This window comes from Homo sapiens, chromosome 12 (genome assembly GCF_000001405.40).
Source record: "Homo sapiens chromosome 12, GRCh38.p14 Primary Assembly".
NCBI lineage: Eukaryota > Metazoa > Chordata > Mammalia > Primates > Hominidae > Homo > Homo sapiens.
Genome location: NC_000012.12, coordinates 108,278,435 through 108,295,341, shown reverse-complemented (window position 1 = coordinate 108,295,341; position 16,907 = coordinate 108,278,435). Strand labels below are relative to the sequence as shown.

Genomic DNA, 16,907 nt, shown 5'->3' with positions numbered 1-16,907 from the left:
AGTTAAGAGCTCAGGCTTTGCAGATGTGGTTCAAATCCCAGCTCTTCCAGCCCCTGCCTGCATGCTTGGGCATGGGTCCTGATCTCTCTGAGCCCTGCTGTAGCCCCTTATGGGGTTAAAGTGAGACCATCTGGACTGAGGGCTTAACATGGTCCCTGGCATACACAAGAGCTCAATGTGCATTCCCCACTACTGTCATGCACACCTGTCAGGTTACCTCCAGTCATGGGAGGCCAGCTCCAGTGTCCCCATCTTCTCTCTGCATTCCAGTGCCATAGAAAACCCTTGGAGACCCCTTGGTGGGCACTTCTGAAATATTGTCCCAGCATAGAGTGGGATAACACCCAAGCTTTGATTGTGAGCCCTCTGAGTGCAAAGCCCTCAATGGAATTTTCCAAGTGGCTTTTATTTAATAAAAGCAAAAGATGACTTTTATGTAATAAAATATAACCTTAAGCTGGGAAGGATCAGTAATGAATTTATGTGCAGGAAGGTTGGAGTTATTTATAATAAAGCATTGATTAGCAGCCTTGTGAAGCTGAAATATCTGGTTTGGAGCCCATTTGACAAGATGGGGAGATCATGAGCCGCAGAAAAAAGTGCATGGGCTCTGGGGTATCAGAGCCTTGGTTTTAAATCCTGCTTATCAGCTGTGCACCTCTAGGCAATAATGCAATCACTAGTATTTATTGAGGGCTTACTATGTGCCAATACCAAGCTAAATGCTCCACATTTCTGATGCTTCTAGTTCTTATATACACTCTGTGAGGTGAGAAATCCCATTTATTGGTAAGAAAACTGAGATTCAGGGAAGAGAAATCACTTGCCCAAAGCCACACAGCTCATAAGTGTCCGGGGTTAGGTATGAACCCTGCATGTGATCACTGCCTCCAAGATCTTGCAAACTTGCAAACTCCTCAGAATATGTTTGTTCTTCCATAGACTGGAAAAATACTCAGCAAGATTGTTATGGGGCTTGTTTAAAGTGCCACTTAAGTTGTCTGCACAGCGGAGGCTCAGTGGATATATTTGTGTCTGTCTTCACACCAGACTGCTGTGGCTTCAGAGCCTGCATCTCATTCATGGTTCCCATAGGGCCCAGAGAATATCCAGCAAGAATGATGCTTCTTTCTCTGAGCCTCAGTCTCTCTATTTCTTAACACAAAAGGAATAACACCTGCCTGGAAAAGTCCCAAGGAAGACTAAATAACAAGAAAGAATAAAAGTTCTTGGCACATAGCAGGTACTCTGTGTGGGTCTTCTCCTGTTTTCTCTGTGCTCACACTTCCTAAAACAGTATTTTGTGGGTCCTGCCCTGGTAGTGGAGTTGAGTCCCGACCTGGTAGTGGATTGAGCCATCCATGTACCTCCTCTGTGTCTTCCTTTACTCATGCCCGACTCCAGCTGTCAGCTAGGGATGTGCTGGGAGAGGGGAGTGGTTAGAATGAAGAGTCCAGCACTTGACCTGGGAAGAGTCAGTTGACCTAGGTTCAAGGGGCTCCATCCCTTCCTGGCTGCATAACCTTGGCTGAATAACAGCCTTTCTGAACTTCTGCTTCCTTCTCTGTAAAATGGGAATAAGAACAACAGATCTTATTTCTGGCTGGGTCCACTCAACCCTCTGGTTCTTAGACCTGGATCCAATTGCTGCTTTTTTTTTTTTTTTTTTCCCTACAGGTGTTTCTAGCTGTGTACAGGGACTGATTGGCTGAGGACTCACATTGGAGAGCTGCAGACAACATAACGGTGAATGGTGAGGAAGTCTTGTGGTCTGAACTCCAAAGGGCACCAGTGACCACTGACAGATTGGGTGCACAGGGGGATCACAACAAGGCTGTCCACTTGGTTTTAGAAGCATGTTGGAATCAAGTTCACAGCACCATGTACCTCTTCTTCATTGCACTTAGCATTATTGCAATGTTCCCATTATTTGAGGGACTTTTTGATGAACAATTGTCTCCCCCACTAGGCTCTAGAGGAAGACAGGGCCCCAAGCAGACAGAAAACATGGTTGTCAAAAGGATAGACTCTGAAGCTTGGATTCAAATCACAGGTCTGCCTTTTCCTAGCTGTAGGACTTCAGGCAAATGACATAAGCTCTCTGTGACTCAGTTTCCTCATTTGTAAGTTGAGGCTCATAACCTACCTACCTCATTGAGTTACTGTGAAGATTAAGAGAGTGTAGAATGCAATAGTGCCTGGCATGTAGGAGGTACCAGAGAGGCATTTGTTCAATAAATAAAATAGCAAAGAAGGAAATGGTTAAATCACAAAACTGGACTTGCTCAGAGTCAGGGGGAACATTGTTGGTCTTGCTGGTATTGGTCAACCTCTTAAAGCCAACTCTAGGGTTCCTCTAATGGTCCCTGTCTTCTCTTGCAGAGAATGGAGGATGAAGATTACAACACTTCCATCAGTTACGGTGATGAATACCCTGATTATTTAGACTCCATTGTGGTTTTGGAGGACTTATCCCCCTTGGAAGCCAGGGTGACCAGGATCTTCCTGGTGGTGGTCTACAGCATCGTCTGCTTCCTCGGGATTCTGGGCAATGGTCTGGTGATCATCATTGCCACCTTCAAGATGAAGAAGACAGTGAACATGGTCTGGTTCCTCAACCTGGCAGTGGCAGATTTCCTGTTCAACGTCTTCCTCCCAATCCATATCACCTATGCCGCCATGGACTACCACTGGGTTTTCGGGACAGCCATGTGCAAGATCAGCAACTTCCTTCTCATCCACAACATGTTCACCAGCGTCTTCCTGCTGACCATCATCAGCTCTGACCGCTGCATCTCTGTGCTCCTCCCTGTCTGGTCCCAGAACCACCGCAGCGTTCGCCTGGCTTACATGGCCTGCATGGTCATCTGGGTCCTGGCTTTCTTCTTGAGTTCCCCATCTCTCGTCTTCCGGGACACAGCCAACCTGCATGGGAAAATATCCTGCTTCAACAACTTCAGCCTGTCCACACCTGGGTCTTCCTCGTGGCCCACTCACTCCCAAATGGACCCTGTGGGGTATAGCCGGCACATGGTGGTGACTGTCACCCGCTTCCTCTGTGGCTTCCTGGTCCCAGTCCTCATCATCACAGCTTGCTACCTCACCATCGTGTGCAAACTGCAGCGCAACCGCCTGGCCAAGACCAAGAAGCCCTTCAAGATTATTGTGACCATCATCATTACCTTCTTCCTCTGCTGGTGCCCCTACCACACACTCAACCTCCTAGAGCTCCACCACACTGCCATGCCTGGCTCTGTCTTCAGCCTGGGTTTGCCCCTGGCCACTGCCCTTGCCATTGCCAACAGCTGCATGAACCCCATTCTGTATGTTTTCATGGGTCAGGACTTCAAGAAGTTCAAGGTGGCCCTCTTCTCTCGCCTGGTCAATGCTCTAAGTGAAGATACAGGCCACTCTTCCTACCCCAGCCATAGAAGCTTTACCAAGATGTCATCAATGAATGAGAGGACTTCTATGAATGAGAGGGAGACCGGCATGCTTTGATCCTCACTGTGGAACCCCTCAATGGACTCTCTCAACCCAGGGACACCCAAGGATATGTCTTCTGAAGATCAAGGCAAGAACCTCTTTAGCATCCACCAATTTTCACTGCATTTTGCATGGGATGAACAGTGTTTTATGCTGGGAATCTAGGGCCTGGAACCCCTTTCTTCTAGTGGACAGAACATGCTGTGTTCCATACAGCCTTGGACTAGCAATTTATGCTTCTTGGGAGGCCAGCCTTGACTGACTCAAAGCAAAAAAGGAAGAATTCTCAAAAGCATTGCCATGAACTGGGATTGGCATAGGGCGGTGGGATTAAGCTGCCTATTGTGTGTGCCCCAGAAATGACACTCTCCAAGGTCCATTCCTGGTGTGAGCAGTGAGGGGGTCAGAGCAAACCCAGTGTGATGCAGATCACACTTGGCCCTTGTATATATATTATCAGTAGCTGGCCAGAAAACCCTACCTTCAAGTCACTGCTCTGTGTTAAAGTATGTGGAAATGCATAGGTGATCTGGGAGAGGAAGGTGACATATCAGCCCATGAACTCCATAGGCCATGAATTTGGCTTTCGGATCAGCTAGGAAGACAGAGAACTGGTCCTGAGAGGTCCTGTGGGCTCTTTGCAAGGGCAAGACAAGTGAGGGATGCAACGAGGACTTGAGATTTGGCAAAGAAATGAGAAAGGAGAAAAGAACCTTTAAAGGATGCAGGCATGGAGCAGCTCACCCTAGAACATCGCAGGCTGATGGTGCTTTAGGCTGGAGCTATTTGGGGCGTCAGGGTGGTGCCAGCCCCTGATCTCACCTTGCCCCTCTTACCTGGGGGTGGGGTTGTGGCAGGCATCTTCACCAGCAGCCCTCACCCCATCACAGGGATTTTTTTCTGCCTTTCCTAATCCACTCAGCTCTGGCTGGAGGTGCTTAGAATAAAACACTGGTGGTGGGGCTTCTCATTCTGGTTAATTTCCTCAACGCCTTTGGAGACAGGTCCAAAATGCAGCTTTGGGAAGCAACTCCGGAGAGTCCCCTGGGAAGAAGAGTATGTCCGAGGACTCAGTCACTTGAGACAGAGTCTGGAGCTGGACTCCTTGAACTGTGTTTCTGAGCTGCAGACACCAAATACCTCCTGGATACAGGTGCCTGGCATGGCTTTTCTCATCTAATACTGACACGTCCCTGTGGCCACAGAGTGTCATAGCCCCATTTACAAATGACATAGCTGAGGCCCAGATGGGGAAAGTAACTTGCCCAGCATCACACAGCTAATCAGTGGCAGAGTTAAGATCTGAACCTGGCTCCGTCTGGCTCCAGAAACTCTGTTCTTCTATTTGGAATTTATCTGTGGAGATTATTCTAGTATATTGATAGCCTACATTTATTTAGCACTTTTTATATTATGCACTTTACATATGTTTTCTCATTTAATCATTACAGCAACCCTGAGTTAGGTATGGTTATAACTTCCCTTTTACATAGGAGGAATCTGAGGCTTAGAGAGGTTAAGTAACTTGCCCAAAGGTACCCAGCTAGTCTCTGCCGGAGCTTGGATTTGAACTTCAGTTTGCCTGGCTCAAATGAGGCTGCAGAGTTGGGAAGGACTTAAAAAGTTTGGAGATTTTTGCCATAAATATTGATTTTTCTGCAAATGAGGATGAACATCTTAATGGCCTTTAAGAAACTTTGCAAATAGTTTTCAAAAATGATGCAACATGGCAGAGAAAATGCACTTGGCTTCCAGCTCCCTCAACAGCCATTAACAGCCTCCTACCGTGGCTCCCACCTCCTATGTCTCCAGAGATCAAGGCAATGGGGAGGGAAAGCTGGCAGGAGGCAGTCCCTTGTGGGCCTGAGGCCCTTTGGCTCCTAAGTGTCCACATTCTGTTCTCTTCCAAGTCCCTTCATTGTTAAGCTGATTCTCCAACAAGATGCAATGAACAGATGCAATGTCTACCCCGCGCTGGGCGAGTTCCCGAGGCCATGGGCTGTTTGGAATCACACTTCATTAAGAGACAAACTGTTCCTTCCCTTATTGTGCCTTAATGCTTATGACAAGGCAGCTCTGAATTGATCCCAAGCTGGAGCCTCTGAATGCTTTAAAGAGTTTGAATATAGACGGTTTGAGAGCAAAAAGGGAGCTTTAAATATTGCTCAGTGGCCCCCATCTCCCCTCTTCCCACATTTACTGAGGCACGAGATGGGATGGGACCTGTCCCGGGTCACAGCAGCAGTCGTCAGCGCCTTGGCCCTCCTGGCTTGTAGGATGCTGCTTTTCCTGGGCTTCTGGCAGTCCAGGCCAGGATGGGGGAGCCAGGAATTCATGTTGTCATTGGAAAAGCTGATAAACAGGAGCACAATTCAAACCGGCTGTTTTCCTCCTTAGAGTCTGGCCTCCCTCTTTCTGGCTGCTCTGTGGGTCTTCCTGTTCTGACTTAGGTTCCTGTCAAGTACTTAAATGCAGCCTTAACATCCCATACAGTCTTGTCCCCACAGCTTCATGTGAACATCTCCATGGGTCATGCATATATCGTCCCTGCAGTGTGCAAAGTGTGCTCACCTGCACTGCTGCACAGGCAACCAACATACTTAGTGCCCAGAGCCTTCTCTCTGGGCCCAGGACTCAGTGATGGGGCCTTACTTAGCCCTGCCTCCTGGGTGGGGTGGGGGAGCTGAGGGATCGTGAGGACAAGAGGTAGAGGGAAAAGAAAAGAAGATGGTGTTTGAGGATAGGGGAGGGACAGGAGAGGGGACAGAAAGGTCCCAGAGCATGATGATGAAGGAAAGGGATCTGGCATTCATGAAGCACCTACGATGGTTCAGGCACAAACACTGAAACCTCAAATTGGCCCTGGCAGAAGGGGACCATCATAGCAAGGTGGGGGGGGGGTGCAGAAAGTGAGTTTCTGTTTCAAGAACAGACTTCACTAGTTCAGAGTTGCACAGCTAGTGAGGTATGGAGCTGGGCTTTGAATCAGGTCAGCTGCCTGAATGCCCAACTTCTTCAGCCCTTGGAAGGAGAGGGTGGGGAGAAGAAGAAGGAAAAGACAAGGAAGAAAGAAAGAAGAGAGAAGGGGAGAGGAATGGAAGTCCAAAGAGTGGGAGGAATTTGATTTCAGAACCATCTCCAGCTGACCCTTGAGCCAGCAAGGACAGGGAGAAGGGAAGAGCAAGAACACGAAGGGCCTCAAGCACCGGGATGCCTTTGCCAGCCTTAGATAATTCCCAGAGCGCACAGAGCCCTGCAGGTTCCTGGGTCCTTCTCCAGAGAAGAGGCACAGAGATTCTGGCAGCAAGGTTCAGAAGGGGTGAGGAAACTGGGCACTGACAAAGGGAGGGGATTGGCTCAAATTCGACCCCAGAGTCAGCTCTGGTGGGGTTGGGAGCCTGGATGGGTGGGAGAAGATAGAATCCAATCGTGAAAACCATAAGGGACCTTCAAACTCATCTTGCCCAGATGTCTCCCATTTCACAGATGAGGGAACTGAGGTTTTGAGAGCTTCCCCTGAGGACTCTGCAAAACGAGGTGGTGTCTGGTTTGGATGAAAGTGGTCGGTGATTCCTCAACTCCTGCCCTGCCTCCCTCTCTCGTTCCTCCCTAACATGTTATGCTCTTGTTGGGGCTGGGATGCCCTAGGCCCAAGGTTACCAAATCCTGGGTTTGGAAAATTGCTGCTGGGGGTGGTATCTAGGACCAGAGAGGAATCTACTATTTCTACTGTGAAATAATTCAGCAGGGGGTCTTCTTACTTCTTCCCTTTGAGGACAAAGTTTCTCTCGAATAAAGAGACTGAAGCAAGAGTGTGTGGCTCAGTTCTGGGGGTTCCTGCCATCACCTCCCTTTTGCCTTCCTCACTTACTTCACAGAACAGCAGCTGAGGCTCAGAGAGGTGAGGCGGCCAGTGCAAAGTCACAGAGCTATGTTGTGGGCAGCAGGAGAAGCCCTGAAGTCCCCAACCTGCCATTCTCAAACCTTCGAGCTCCAAGAAATTTGCATTTTGAAAAAAATTCTTTTCACTTATTTTGCTTTTCTAGCAACTGAGGATGTGAAAGAGGTAGTTACTCACCCAAGATAATATAGTAAACCCTAGCAGATAAGGGACATAAAGCCAGGCCTCCTCATGGTCAGGTCTATACTCTTTGGCACTGCATCAGGTGGCCCAAGGACAGATGCTCCTGTGACACATTCATCCATTCACCTTTTCACCAACCCATTCACCCTAACATCCACCCACCTATCCACCCACCCATTCACTCCAAGATCTACCCATCCACCCATTCACCCCAAGATTCACCCACCCATCCACCCACCCATTCACCCACTCATTCACCCCAAGATCCACCCACCTATCCAACCATCTATTCACCCCAATATCCACTCACACATCCACCATCCATTCACTTTAATATCCACCCACACATCCACCCACCCATTCACCCACTCATTCACCGCAAGATCCATTCACCCATCCACCCACCCATTATCCCAAGATGAGCTCACCCATCCACCCCAACATCCACTCATCCACCCACTTACCCACTGACTCCGACATCCACTCACCCAGCCATTCATCTCAACATTCGCCTAGCCATCCATCCACTCACCCATTCACTTACATAACCATCTATCTATCCACCCATTCATCCATTCCATTAAAATGTATTTAACAGCTACTCTTTTGCTAATTCTGTGGTAGGCACTATATACAGAGAGATGATCAAGACGTACACAGCCTCTGTCCTCCTGAGCTCATTCATTGACTTATGAGAGAGACAGCCAATAATCAAAATTATACACGTCCCCCAATGGGAAACAACCCCAGGAAATGTTTTCTCTGTTGCCCAGGCTGGAATGCTATGGCACGATCACTTTAGCCTTGACCTCCCTGGGCTCAGGTGATCCTCCCATCTCAGCCTCCGGAGTAGCTGGAACCTCAAGCACATGCCATCACACCCAGCTAATTTTTGTATTTTTTATTTTATTTTATTTTTTGTAGAGACAGGGTTTCTCCATGTTGACCAGGCTGGTCTTGAATTCCTGGGCTCAAGTGATCCTCCTGCCTCAGACGTCCATAGTGCTGGGATTACAGGCGTGAGCCATGGTGCCAGGCCTGCACACACATTATAGAGGGATCCGATCCTGTCCAAAGACTAAGGAAACTTCCTTGGGGAGGGGACACTTGAGCTGACATGTGGAAGATGGGTGGGCACGGATGTGGTAAGGAGGTGCAGGAGGAGGGTGCTCCAGGTGGAGGGGACAGCAGGGGCAGTGGCATTGATGCAAGAGGGAGCAATGCTCACAGTGACGGGAAGTGGTGGGGGTGGGGGGCTGGCTGCAAGGAGGGTGTAGGATGAGTGAGACCAGGTGGGGGTGGAGTGGAAGGGCCAGGCAGTGGGGGAGACCTTCACCCTGAGATGCGGCAGCCATGTGCAGGGGAGTGCCATGCTCAGATCTGCATGCTGGAACAATGCCCCTAGCTGCTCTGGGGAGGACAGGTTGGAGAGGGGCAGAGTGGGAAGCCCGGAGGCTACTGCAGCCTCAGATGAGCCATGGTGGAATCTGGACTGGGGAAACAGAAGCGATGCTGGAGAGAAATGGACTATTGGAAAGATATTTAAAAGCTACCCAAGCTTTCTCAGGGGAGTGGTTAGTGGGAAACCAACCCAGGGCCCATTTCTGCTACACAGAGGCCTCGGTGCATTGCTTTATTGTCTGAAATTAATTGTAAATATTATTCAAATGTACCACCCAATGCACAATTATATTTCTCAGGGGAGCCCTCTGAACACATAATAAAGCCCTATAAATAATACATATATTAACCTAAGAGGAACAGAGGCATGTTAATGCTGCAATTGCAGGTTGTGCTGTGGGGACTTTATACAGATGAGATGCCAAGCACTTGGACTTGGGGTTTGACCTTGGGGGTCACCTGAGTTCTGTCCTGGGGAATCTTCCAGAAGTCTCTCCCCCTGGGATATGGGGATACCCCCAGACAAGTCAGGCAGCTACTGCTCTAGGTATCTAGTCAATAGACAGGTGGGGGCAAGATGAGAGTTGGTGAGGGAGGAAGAAGCACAGGTCTATAAAACACTTACCTTGTGCTCAAAGATGCAGAAACAGCAACAGCAGTAATAATAGCAAATACTAATTCAGCCTTGTCTAAGTTTTGGGCAAGCTCTTCAGTTTCATTGTCTCATTGAGTCCTTGCAACAAGGATTTCACAGTAGGGGTATTGCTATCTCCATACACAAGTGAAGAGATTGAGGTTCAGAAAGGTGAAGTGACTTTGCCCGATGCCACACAGCTGGTAAGTGACAGAGCTGGGATTCAAACCCCAGTATGTTTATCTTGAAAGCTCCTGCTGTTTTCCCCAGAAATGTGCAAATGCAAAATGTCCTCTGTAGAGACCCTTCCCTGGAGAGAAGAGGACAAGAACATATTCTCTTTCCCATGTCAAATTTTGAAGATGTGGGAGTCGGGGAGTCTGAGGAATTGCTTTTTCCTTGAGAGGAGGAAATTGCATTTGAATGGGCTTGTCACTTTCTCACAACCCTGAGAATCTTAGGGTTTTTGCGTTTGGAAAGGACTACTTCCTCAAGTTTGTCCCTTCCTGTTCCCCCATTTCACAGATGGTGAAACTGAGACCTCTTTGCAAATAAGATGGAGACCACCTGCCTCACTGACTGCTGGGAGATGAGAAGTGTGTGAAAATGCTCACCTGAGTCACTCTTAAAACACCATCACCCCAGAGACCTGAGCATTCACCAAGCCACCCTGCTTCACTTCTTAGTTTATTGACAAGCACTTTGGTGCTAATCTGCTGTAAAGAATTTCTGCCCAGGGTCTGGGCTCCCCTGAGGAGTTTCCAGCAGAATCCTGGCTGAAGGGGAGGCGGGAGATCTTGGCAAAAACTGCTGTAGGGCAGACATGCTTTGTTTGGGGGCATAAATGTTACTCTTAAAGATTGTCCTGAATATGAGTGAGGGATGCTCCCCATCTTGACCTAGATAGTGGTTACACGGGGTAAGGGGTGGGGAATGGGGGTTCATCTGTAAAAACCCAATTATCTGTACATTGAAGACGAACGCACTTCACTATAGTAAGTTATGCCTCAGCAAAAGTCTTTGTAAAAATAAAATAATTCATGTTGTCTGCAGAAATGAGTTCCCACCTCCACTGGTACCCAGGACAGGTAGTGGCAGGACAGGACCAGGTCTGACGGTTTGTCCTTGATTCAAGAGAGCATTTTAGAGGGCAGTGGCTCCTGCAGCATCCATCCAAAGAGGTAGAGTCTCAGGAAGGACTAAGCCCTCCTGGGGGCCTCCCCAGCCTCACCACCTGACTCAAAGGGACTTTGATGTTTATGACACCGGGTCAGGTAGGCTCAGGAATCAGACTGCGAGGGCTCGAATCCAAGCTCTGCTATTTACGTCAGCTAAGGGCAGGGTTAGAGTTAGGCTCTGTGACCTTGGGCAAGCTATTCAATGCCTCCGAAGCCTCAGTTTTCTCCTCTGTATGACAAAGGGCATGATAAAGGTTTGCAGCTGTGAGGATTCAGTGAGATTGCTGCACTTTAGCGTTTAGCAGGTGCCAGGCTCTTTCATCTGAATATGCATCGGCTTTCTTGCTGGCCTCCCCACTTCTGTCTTTGCTCCCTCAACCCACACTGTAGGAAGCAGCCAGAGTGAGCTTTTATCACAGAATACAGTAATCCAGAGCCCTTACTATGGCATCAAAACCCCTATGTGATCGGCTACTGCCTCCTTCTCTAAGTTCATCTCATGCTGCTTTCCAGCTAGGTGATCCTTTCTGCCTCTCAAGCAAAATGAAACAAACAGATCAACAGCAACAATACAGCCAAGATTGGTCCCACCTCAGGCCCTTGCACTTGCTATTCCTGCTGTTTCTGGGCCCACTTGCCTCTTCCCTTTGCATGACTGATTCGTCCGCCTCCTTCTGGTCTCAGTCCAAATGCCATCTCCTCAGACAGGCCATGCTAAGGTAGCCTCCATCCCTACTCGCTGCCTATCAGATCCCTATTTTGTATTAGTGTTTTCTTTATACTAGTTACTGCCATCTGAAATCATATTATTATGTGTGTATTTAGTGGCCTTAAGTCTGGCCCCTACTTGGATCCAGCAAGATGGCAGGGACTTTGGCCACCTTATTGTATCCCTAGCAGTGCTTAGCCCAGAAAAGCTGCTCATAACTTCTGGTTGAATGAATGAAGACATTATCATAAGCTGACATTATTTTTGCCATCATCATCATCGAGTTTCATGACAATCACTTTTATAATACACCGTTTCCAAAGTATTTTCACATTTTTTTCCTATCTTAATGAAACCTGGGGAGGGTGGGATTTTTCCTCATTTCACCAACATGGAAACTGAGGTCGCAGGTCACTTAGTTTAGAAGTGGAGGAGACACAGTTCTTTACTTGTGCCATTAAGAGTAATCACAGGCTGGGCGCGGTGGCTCAGGCCTGCAATCCCCATACTTCGGGAGGCTGAGACGGGCAGATCGCTTGAGGCCAGGAGTTTGAGGGCAGCCTTGTCAACATGGAGAAACTCCGTCTCTATTAAAAATACAAAAAAATTTAGCTGAGCATGGTGGCACACGCCTGTAATCCCAGCTACTCGGGAGGCTGAGACACAAGAGTCGCTTGAACTTGGGAGGCGTAGGTCGTAGTGAGCCAAGATCACACTAGTGCACTCCAGCCTGGGCAGCAGAGTGAGACCCTGTCTCAGAAAAAAAAAAAAAAGAGTAATCACAGACAAAGGAGGTTTCTATCAAGTGCTTCCACCTCCCTTGGCCTTTTCTTTTCCCTGTTGTCTGATTTATTACAGCCAGAAAATAAAGGAACCAGATGCCTCCCTCCTCCTCATATTGTTTTGTAGTTCTTTTCCGGACCAGGTTTCTGTTAAGGGTTTGGCTGGTACCACTGTGACCACAGACTTCCTGTGTTTATCCCTTCACTTAGAAATCATAGTCAACTGGGCATTAAAGTCTGTGCTGGACACTGGATGACGCTAAGACACCAACACACAGCCAAATACCTGGGGGTCCCGTGGGGCCCAGAAGCCTAACACAGAAAGAGGCAGATCCAGGGTATCTTTTCCCTGGTTTCCACTATGCAGATGTTTTCCACCTTCAGAGCAACATCAAGATGAGTGAACAAGTCTCCAGTTTGCCTCCAGATGTTGGGACTGCGGTTGTGGAGCAAATTCCATACAGGGAGGTGGAATGGAGGCTCTCAGCCTTGCCTGCTGGCAGATGATAGCCTGGTGGATGGCAGGCAGTTTACAATACCTAGCCCACTGCCTGGGCACCAGTGCCTTACTGGGAAGGATTGACTTGTGATGGGATTTTAGGGATGGTGACAGGCAGCCAGAGGGAACTCCACATTGGTCAACCTATTTCATCCTTATCAGAAGCTTAAATGGTAAAACCACCTTGTCTTCAGAAACGAAGAAATGCTGGGTCAGCTGAAATTCGAGCCCTCACTGTCAGAGAAGCTAAGCAGAAACATCTTAGAGGTAGGGACAGGGGACAAATTTCAGACAAAGATCATGGTCAGGGCAAGCCTGCCAAGAAGGCTGCACATGAAGCCTCAGATCAGAAACCTGATGGAGTGGATGTATCCAGGCACATTCTACTACAACTTTGAAAACAGACCCATCCTCTCAGGTTGGAACACCACCTGGCTGTGCTACAAAATGAAAACAAAGAAGGACCCCTCAAAGCCCCCTTTGGACGCAAGGATCTTTGGAGGCCAGGTCTATTCCAAGCCTGAACACCACCCAGAGATGAGATTCGTAGATTGGTTCTGCAACTCGAGGCTGCATCGTGACCAGGACTACCTGGTCATCTGGTACATCTCCTGGAGTCCCTGCTCAGAGTATGCAGGGAACGTGGCAGAGTTCCTGGCCAAGGATGGCAAGGTCACCCTGACCATCTTCGTTGCCCACCTCTACTACTTCTGGGAAGCAGATTACCAAGAGGAGCTTCACAGATGGTGTCAGAAAAAACAGTCCACATGCCAGCATGAAGATCATGAACTATGATGAATTTCAACACTGTTGGGACAAATTTGTGTACAACCAAAGAATGCTATTTGATCCTTGGAAGCAACTGAATACAAATTATGCATTACTGCACAGCATGCTGGGGGAGATTCTCAGACACATTCACTTACAATTTTACCAATGATCCTTCAGTCTCTGGGCAGCACCAGACCTACCTGTGCTGCAAGGTGGAGTGCCAAAACAATGATGCCTGGGTCCCTCTGGACCAGCAACAAGGGCATCCTACCCAGCCAGGCTTTGAATAATCTCAGTTGCTATTAAGATTTCCATGCAGAGCAGTGCTTCCTGTACCTGATTTCCTTTTGGAAGCTGGACCGGGCTCAGTGCTACAGGGTCACCTGGTTCATCTCCTGGAGTCCCTGCTTCAGCTGTGCCCAGCAAGTGGCTACATTTCATTGGGAGAACAGATGTGTGAGCCTGCACATCTTCGCTGCATGCATCTATAATTATCTCCCAGGATATGAGGGGCTGTGCATGCTGCAGAGGGCTGGGACCCAAATCTCCATCATGACCTCCGGAAGTTTAGGCACTGCTGGGTCACCTTTGTGGACCACCAGGGATGTCCCTTCCAGCCCTGGGATGGACTAGATGAGCACAGTCAAGCCCTAAGTGGGAGGCTGCAGGCCATTCTCCAGAATCAGGAAAACCATAGGATGGACCTCAGACTCTAAAGAAGGCAGAAAACCTGTGTTGAGCAGCAGAATGGAAATCTTTCAAGAAATGCAAACAGGCCATTCACCACTATCTCTGGCTGAGCAGTGGACACTAGCAAAGCAATGAGCTCCTGACAAGTAGTTTTTTTTTTTTTTTTTTTTTTGAGACAGAGTCTCGCACTATTGTCTGGGCTGGAGTGCAGTGGCACAATCTTGGCTCACTGCAACCTCCGCCTCCCAGGTTCAAGTGACTCTCCTGCCTCAGCCTCCTGAGTAGCTGGGATTACAGGCGCCCGCCACCAAGCCTGGCTAATTTTTTTTTGTATTTTTAGTAGAGATGGGGTTTCACTATGTTGGCCAGGCCGGTCTCGAACACTTGACCTCATGATCCACCCACCTTGGCCTCCCAAAGTGCTGGGATTACAAGTGTGAGCCACTGTGCCTGGCTGACAAGTAGATTTTTAAAAAAATCAGAGTGAATTACTTTTAATCAAAAATTTATACCATGTTTCAAGGATACAGTAGTTAAGATTATGGTCAATACACACAGAAAGTTTTCAAATTTACTAATCCAGTGACCATTTGATTTTATATGTAGAAGAATAAAATGAAATACTAAATAAAAAAAAAACTTCTAAAATTTGGTGAAGACAAGGCTTGGCAACGCCAAAGAAACTTTTTTCTCCTTGAAACAGGGTCTGGCTCTATAGCCCAGGCTGGAGTGCAGTGGTGTGATCATGGCTCACTGCAGCCTCGAGCTCCTGGGCTCAAGTGCTGTCCCCACCTCAACCTCCTAAGTAGCTGGGACTACAGGTGTGCACCACCATGGCCAGCTAACCACAGAAACTTTCATCTGTTTATTCTTTCTTTAGGCACCATTAATACCTAAGGCAGGTAGAATGGGTCCCAGAAAGACACAATTGGTAGCGGCTGATTGTTGGCTTCGGTCATTGCCCATAGGTCAGCTGGTACAGGATGCCTTAAGGTGAAAAGGAGTGAGGGTGCATGAAGAATAATGAGCACAGGGAAGAGAGAAGCAGAGCAAAGTACCAGATAAAATACCGGCCAAGCACAGATGAATGTCTTCAAGGAGCTGTTATGTTTCTCTGCACAATGTAAATACCCTTGCTATTTCAGGATGGCGGCTGGCCTGCTCAGTAACACACATGTTCCAAATAAAGATTTTGCATGAAAGTAAAAAAAAAAAAAAAGAAAGAAACGAAGAAGTGAAGTTCAGTGGGAACAAGTAAGCTTCCCAGAACCACACAGAATCTACCCATTGATTTGTATTGAGGATTTACTATATGGCAGGCAATGTGCTAGGCTCTGGGGATACAGCTGCAGATGCCATCCTGACCTTCATGAATCTTGCAATGTATTGGCATGCAGCAGAGCTGAGATTTGAACCCACAGCTGTATAACTGTGTGGTTTATACTCTTTTACTACATATCCTTCCTGAGTTAAATAAGTTAGATACAGAGGAATTAGGACAGAGCAAAGGGAAAGACTTCATGTTATGAAGCCTTGAACTTGTCAGGAGTTAGAGAAGACTCACATTTTGGCTAGGGATTGCTGAGTTGAGATTGATTCTGGGTTTTATGACGCACCTGTCAATAACTGCTCTCCCATCCCTGAATTCTCAAAACAGAAAAGTGACCTAATCCAATAGCTTTTCCTTCCTTTGAAAAAGCAGTAAAAGATGATGCTGCTTAACCCAAGTGAATGGCATGCTAAAGGTGAAATTGCAGGAACTGAGGCAGGTTAAAGGATAAAGAAACAGGGAATAGGTGGAGGCTCCCTAGCTTCTTCCATTCTCCCTATAGGGACGATTGGTTTTGCAGGTTATTAGAATCTGAAATGTCCCCACTTTCTGATTCCTGAATTCCTTGGGCATTCTATCCTTTTATAAACCTCATTTCGGTCTGCTGGCCACAGAATCCTCACAGATATAGATAGATGTATGGAAACAGCTAGTTCAATCTTAACATGTCAGAGATAAAAAGCCCTATAATCAGTATTGTCAAGCCCATCCCAGGATCTCTGATGAAAAATTAGTCTCACAATACATTAGCAGTGAGACATGGCAAAAACTTGGACATGTCCATGCCCGGCTCCGGTTTCCCACTCCATGATGTGATCCTCCATTTCATTCAACTGCTCAGTCATCTTCTCATATTTTGGTTCAGACACATCAATCCCTGTAAACTTGAGAAGCACAGAAACAGAAAATCAGTATATCTTTAAAGGCTAGGAATATATATTACACGAATAAAAGTCTTGATACCCTATGCTATTTAACATTTATCTTAGGAATCACGGTTTAAAATAAACCAAGCAAAGTTTGAAAGAAATAAGATTATATCAGTTAGAATGCATTGGACTGCAAGTAACAGAGACCTCATTCAAAACGGTAGAATCTATAGGAAAAGTGCATTCATTTGCATACTAAGAATGCCTGGAGGTTGAGAACTCAGCAACTGAATATTGGCATCAAGGATCCAGAGTGTTTCCTTCTGTTTGCTCTGTCATCTTCAGAGGATTGGCTTTGTCCCCAAAATGACATATCTCCTGGTCAAAAGATGGCACTCACAGTATCAGATATTGCAGCTGCCCATGGCATCAAGTAGAAGAGCCATTGATTATCTCAGAGTGTTGCAAGGGAAT

The 16,907-nt window shown here is 47.5% G+C and overlaps 1 protein-coding gene and 1 pseudogene across 5 annotated transcripts in view; both read left to right on the top strand.

Annotated features, from left to right (window-relative positions):
• Nucleotides 1-7,296, top strand: part of CMKLR1 (chemerin chemokine-like receptor 1) — a 51,266-nt gene extending 43,970 nt beyond the window's left edge. For 4 of the 5 annotated variants that reach the window (NM_001142344.2, NM_001142343.2, NM_001142345.2 and 1 more), the window contains 2 exons: nt 1,678-1,753; nt 2,383-7,296. In NM_001142344.2, the coding sequence (NP_001135816.1) occupies nt 1,751-1,753; nt 2,383-3,501 (1,122 nt within the window). In that variant the 5' untranslated portion in view covers nt 1,678-1,750 and the 3' untranslated portion in view covers nt 3,502-7,296. The remainder of the gene's footprint in view (nt 1-1,677; nt 1,754-2,382) is intronic. The other variant, NM_004072.3, reaches the window with a different exon arrangement.
• Nucleotides 13,060-14,392, top strand: LOC196469 (DNA dC->dU-editing enzyme APOBEC-3G-like; annotated as a pseudogene).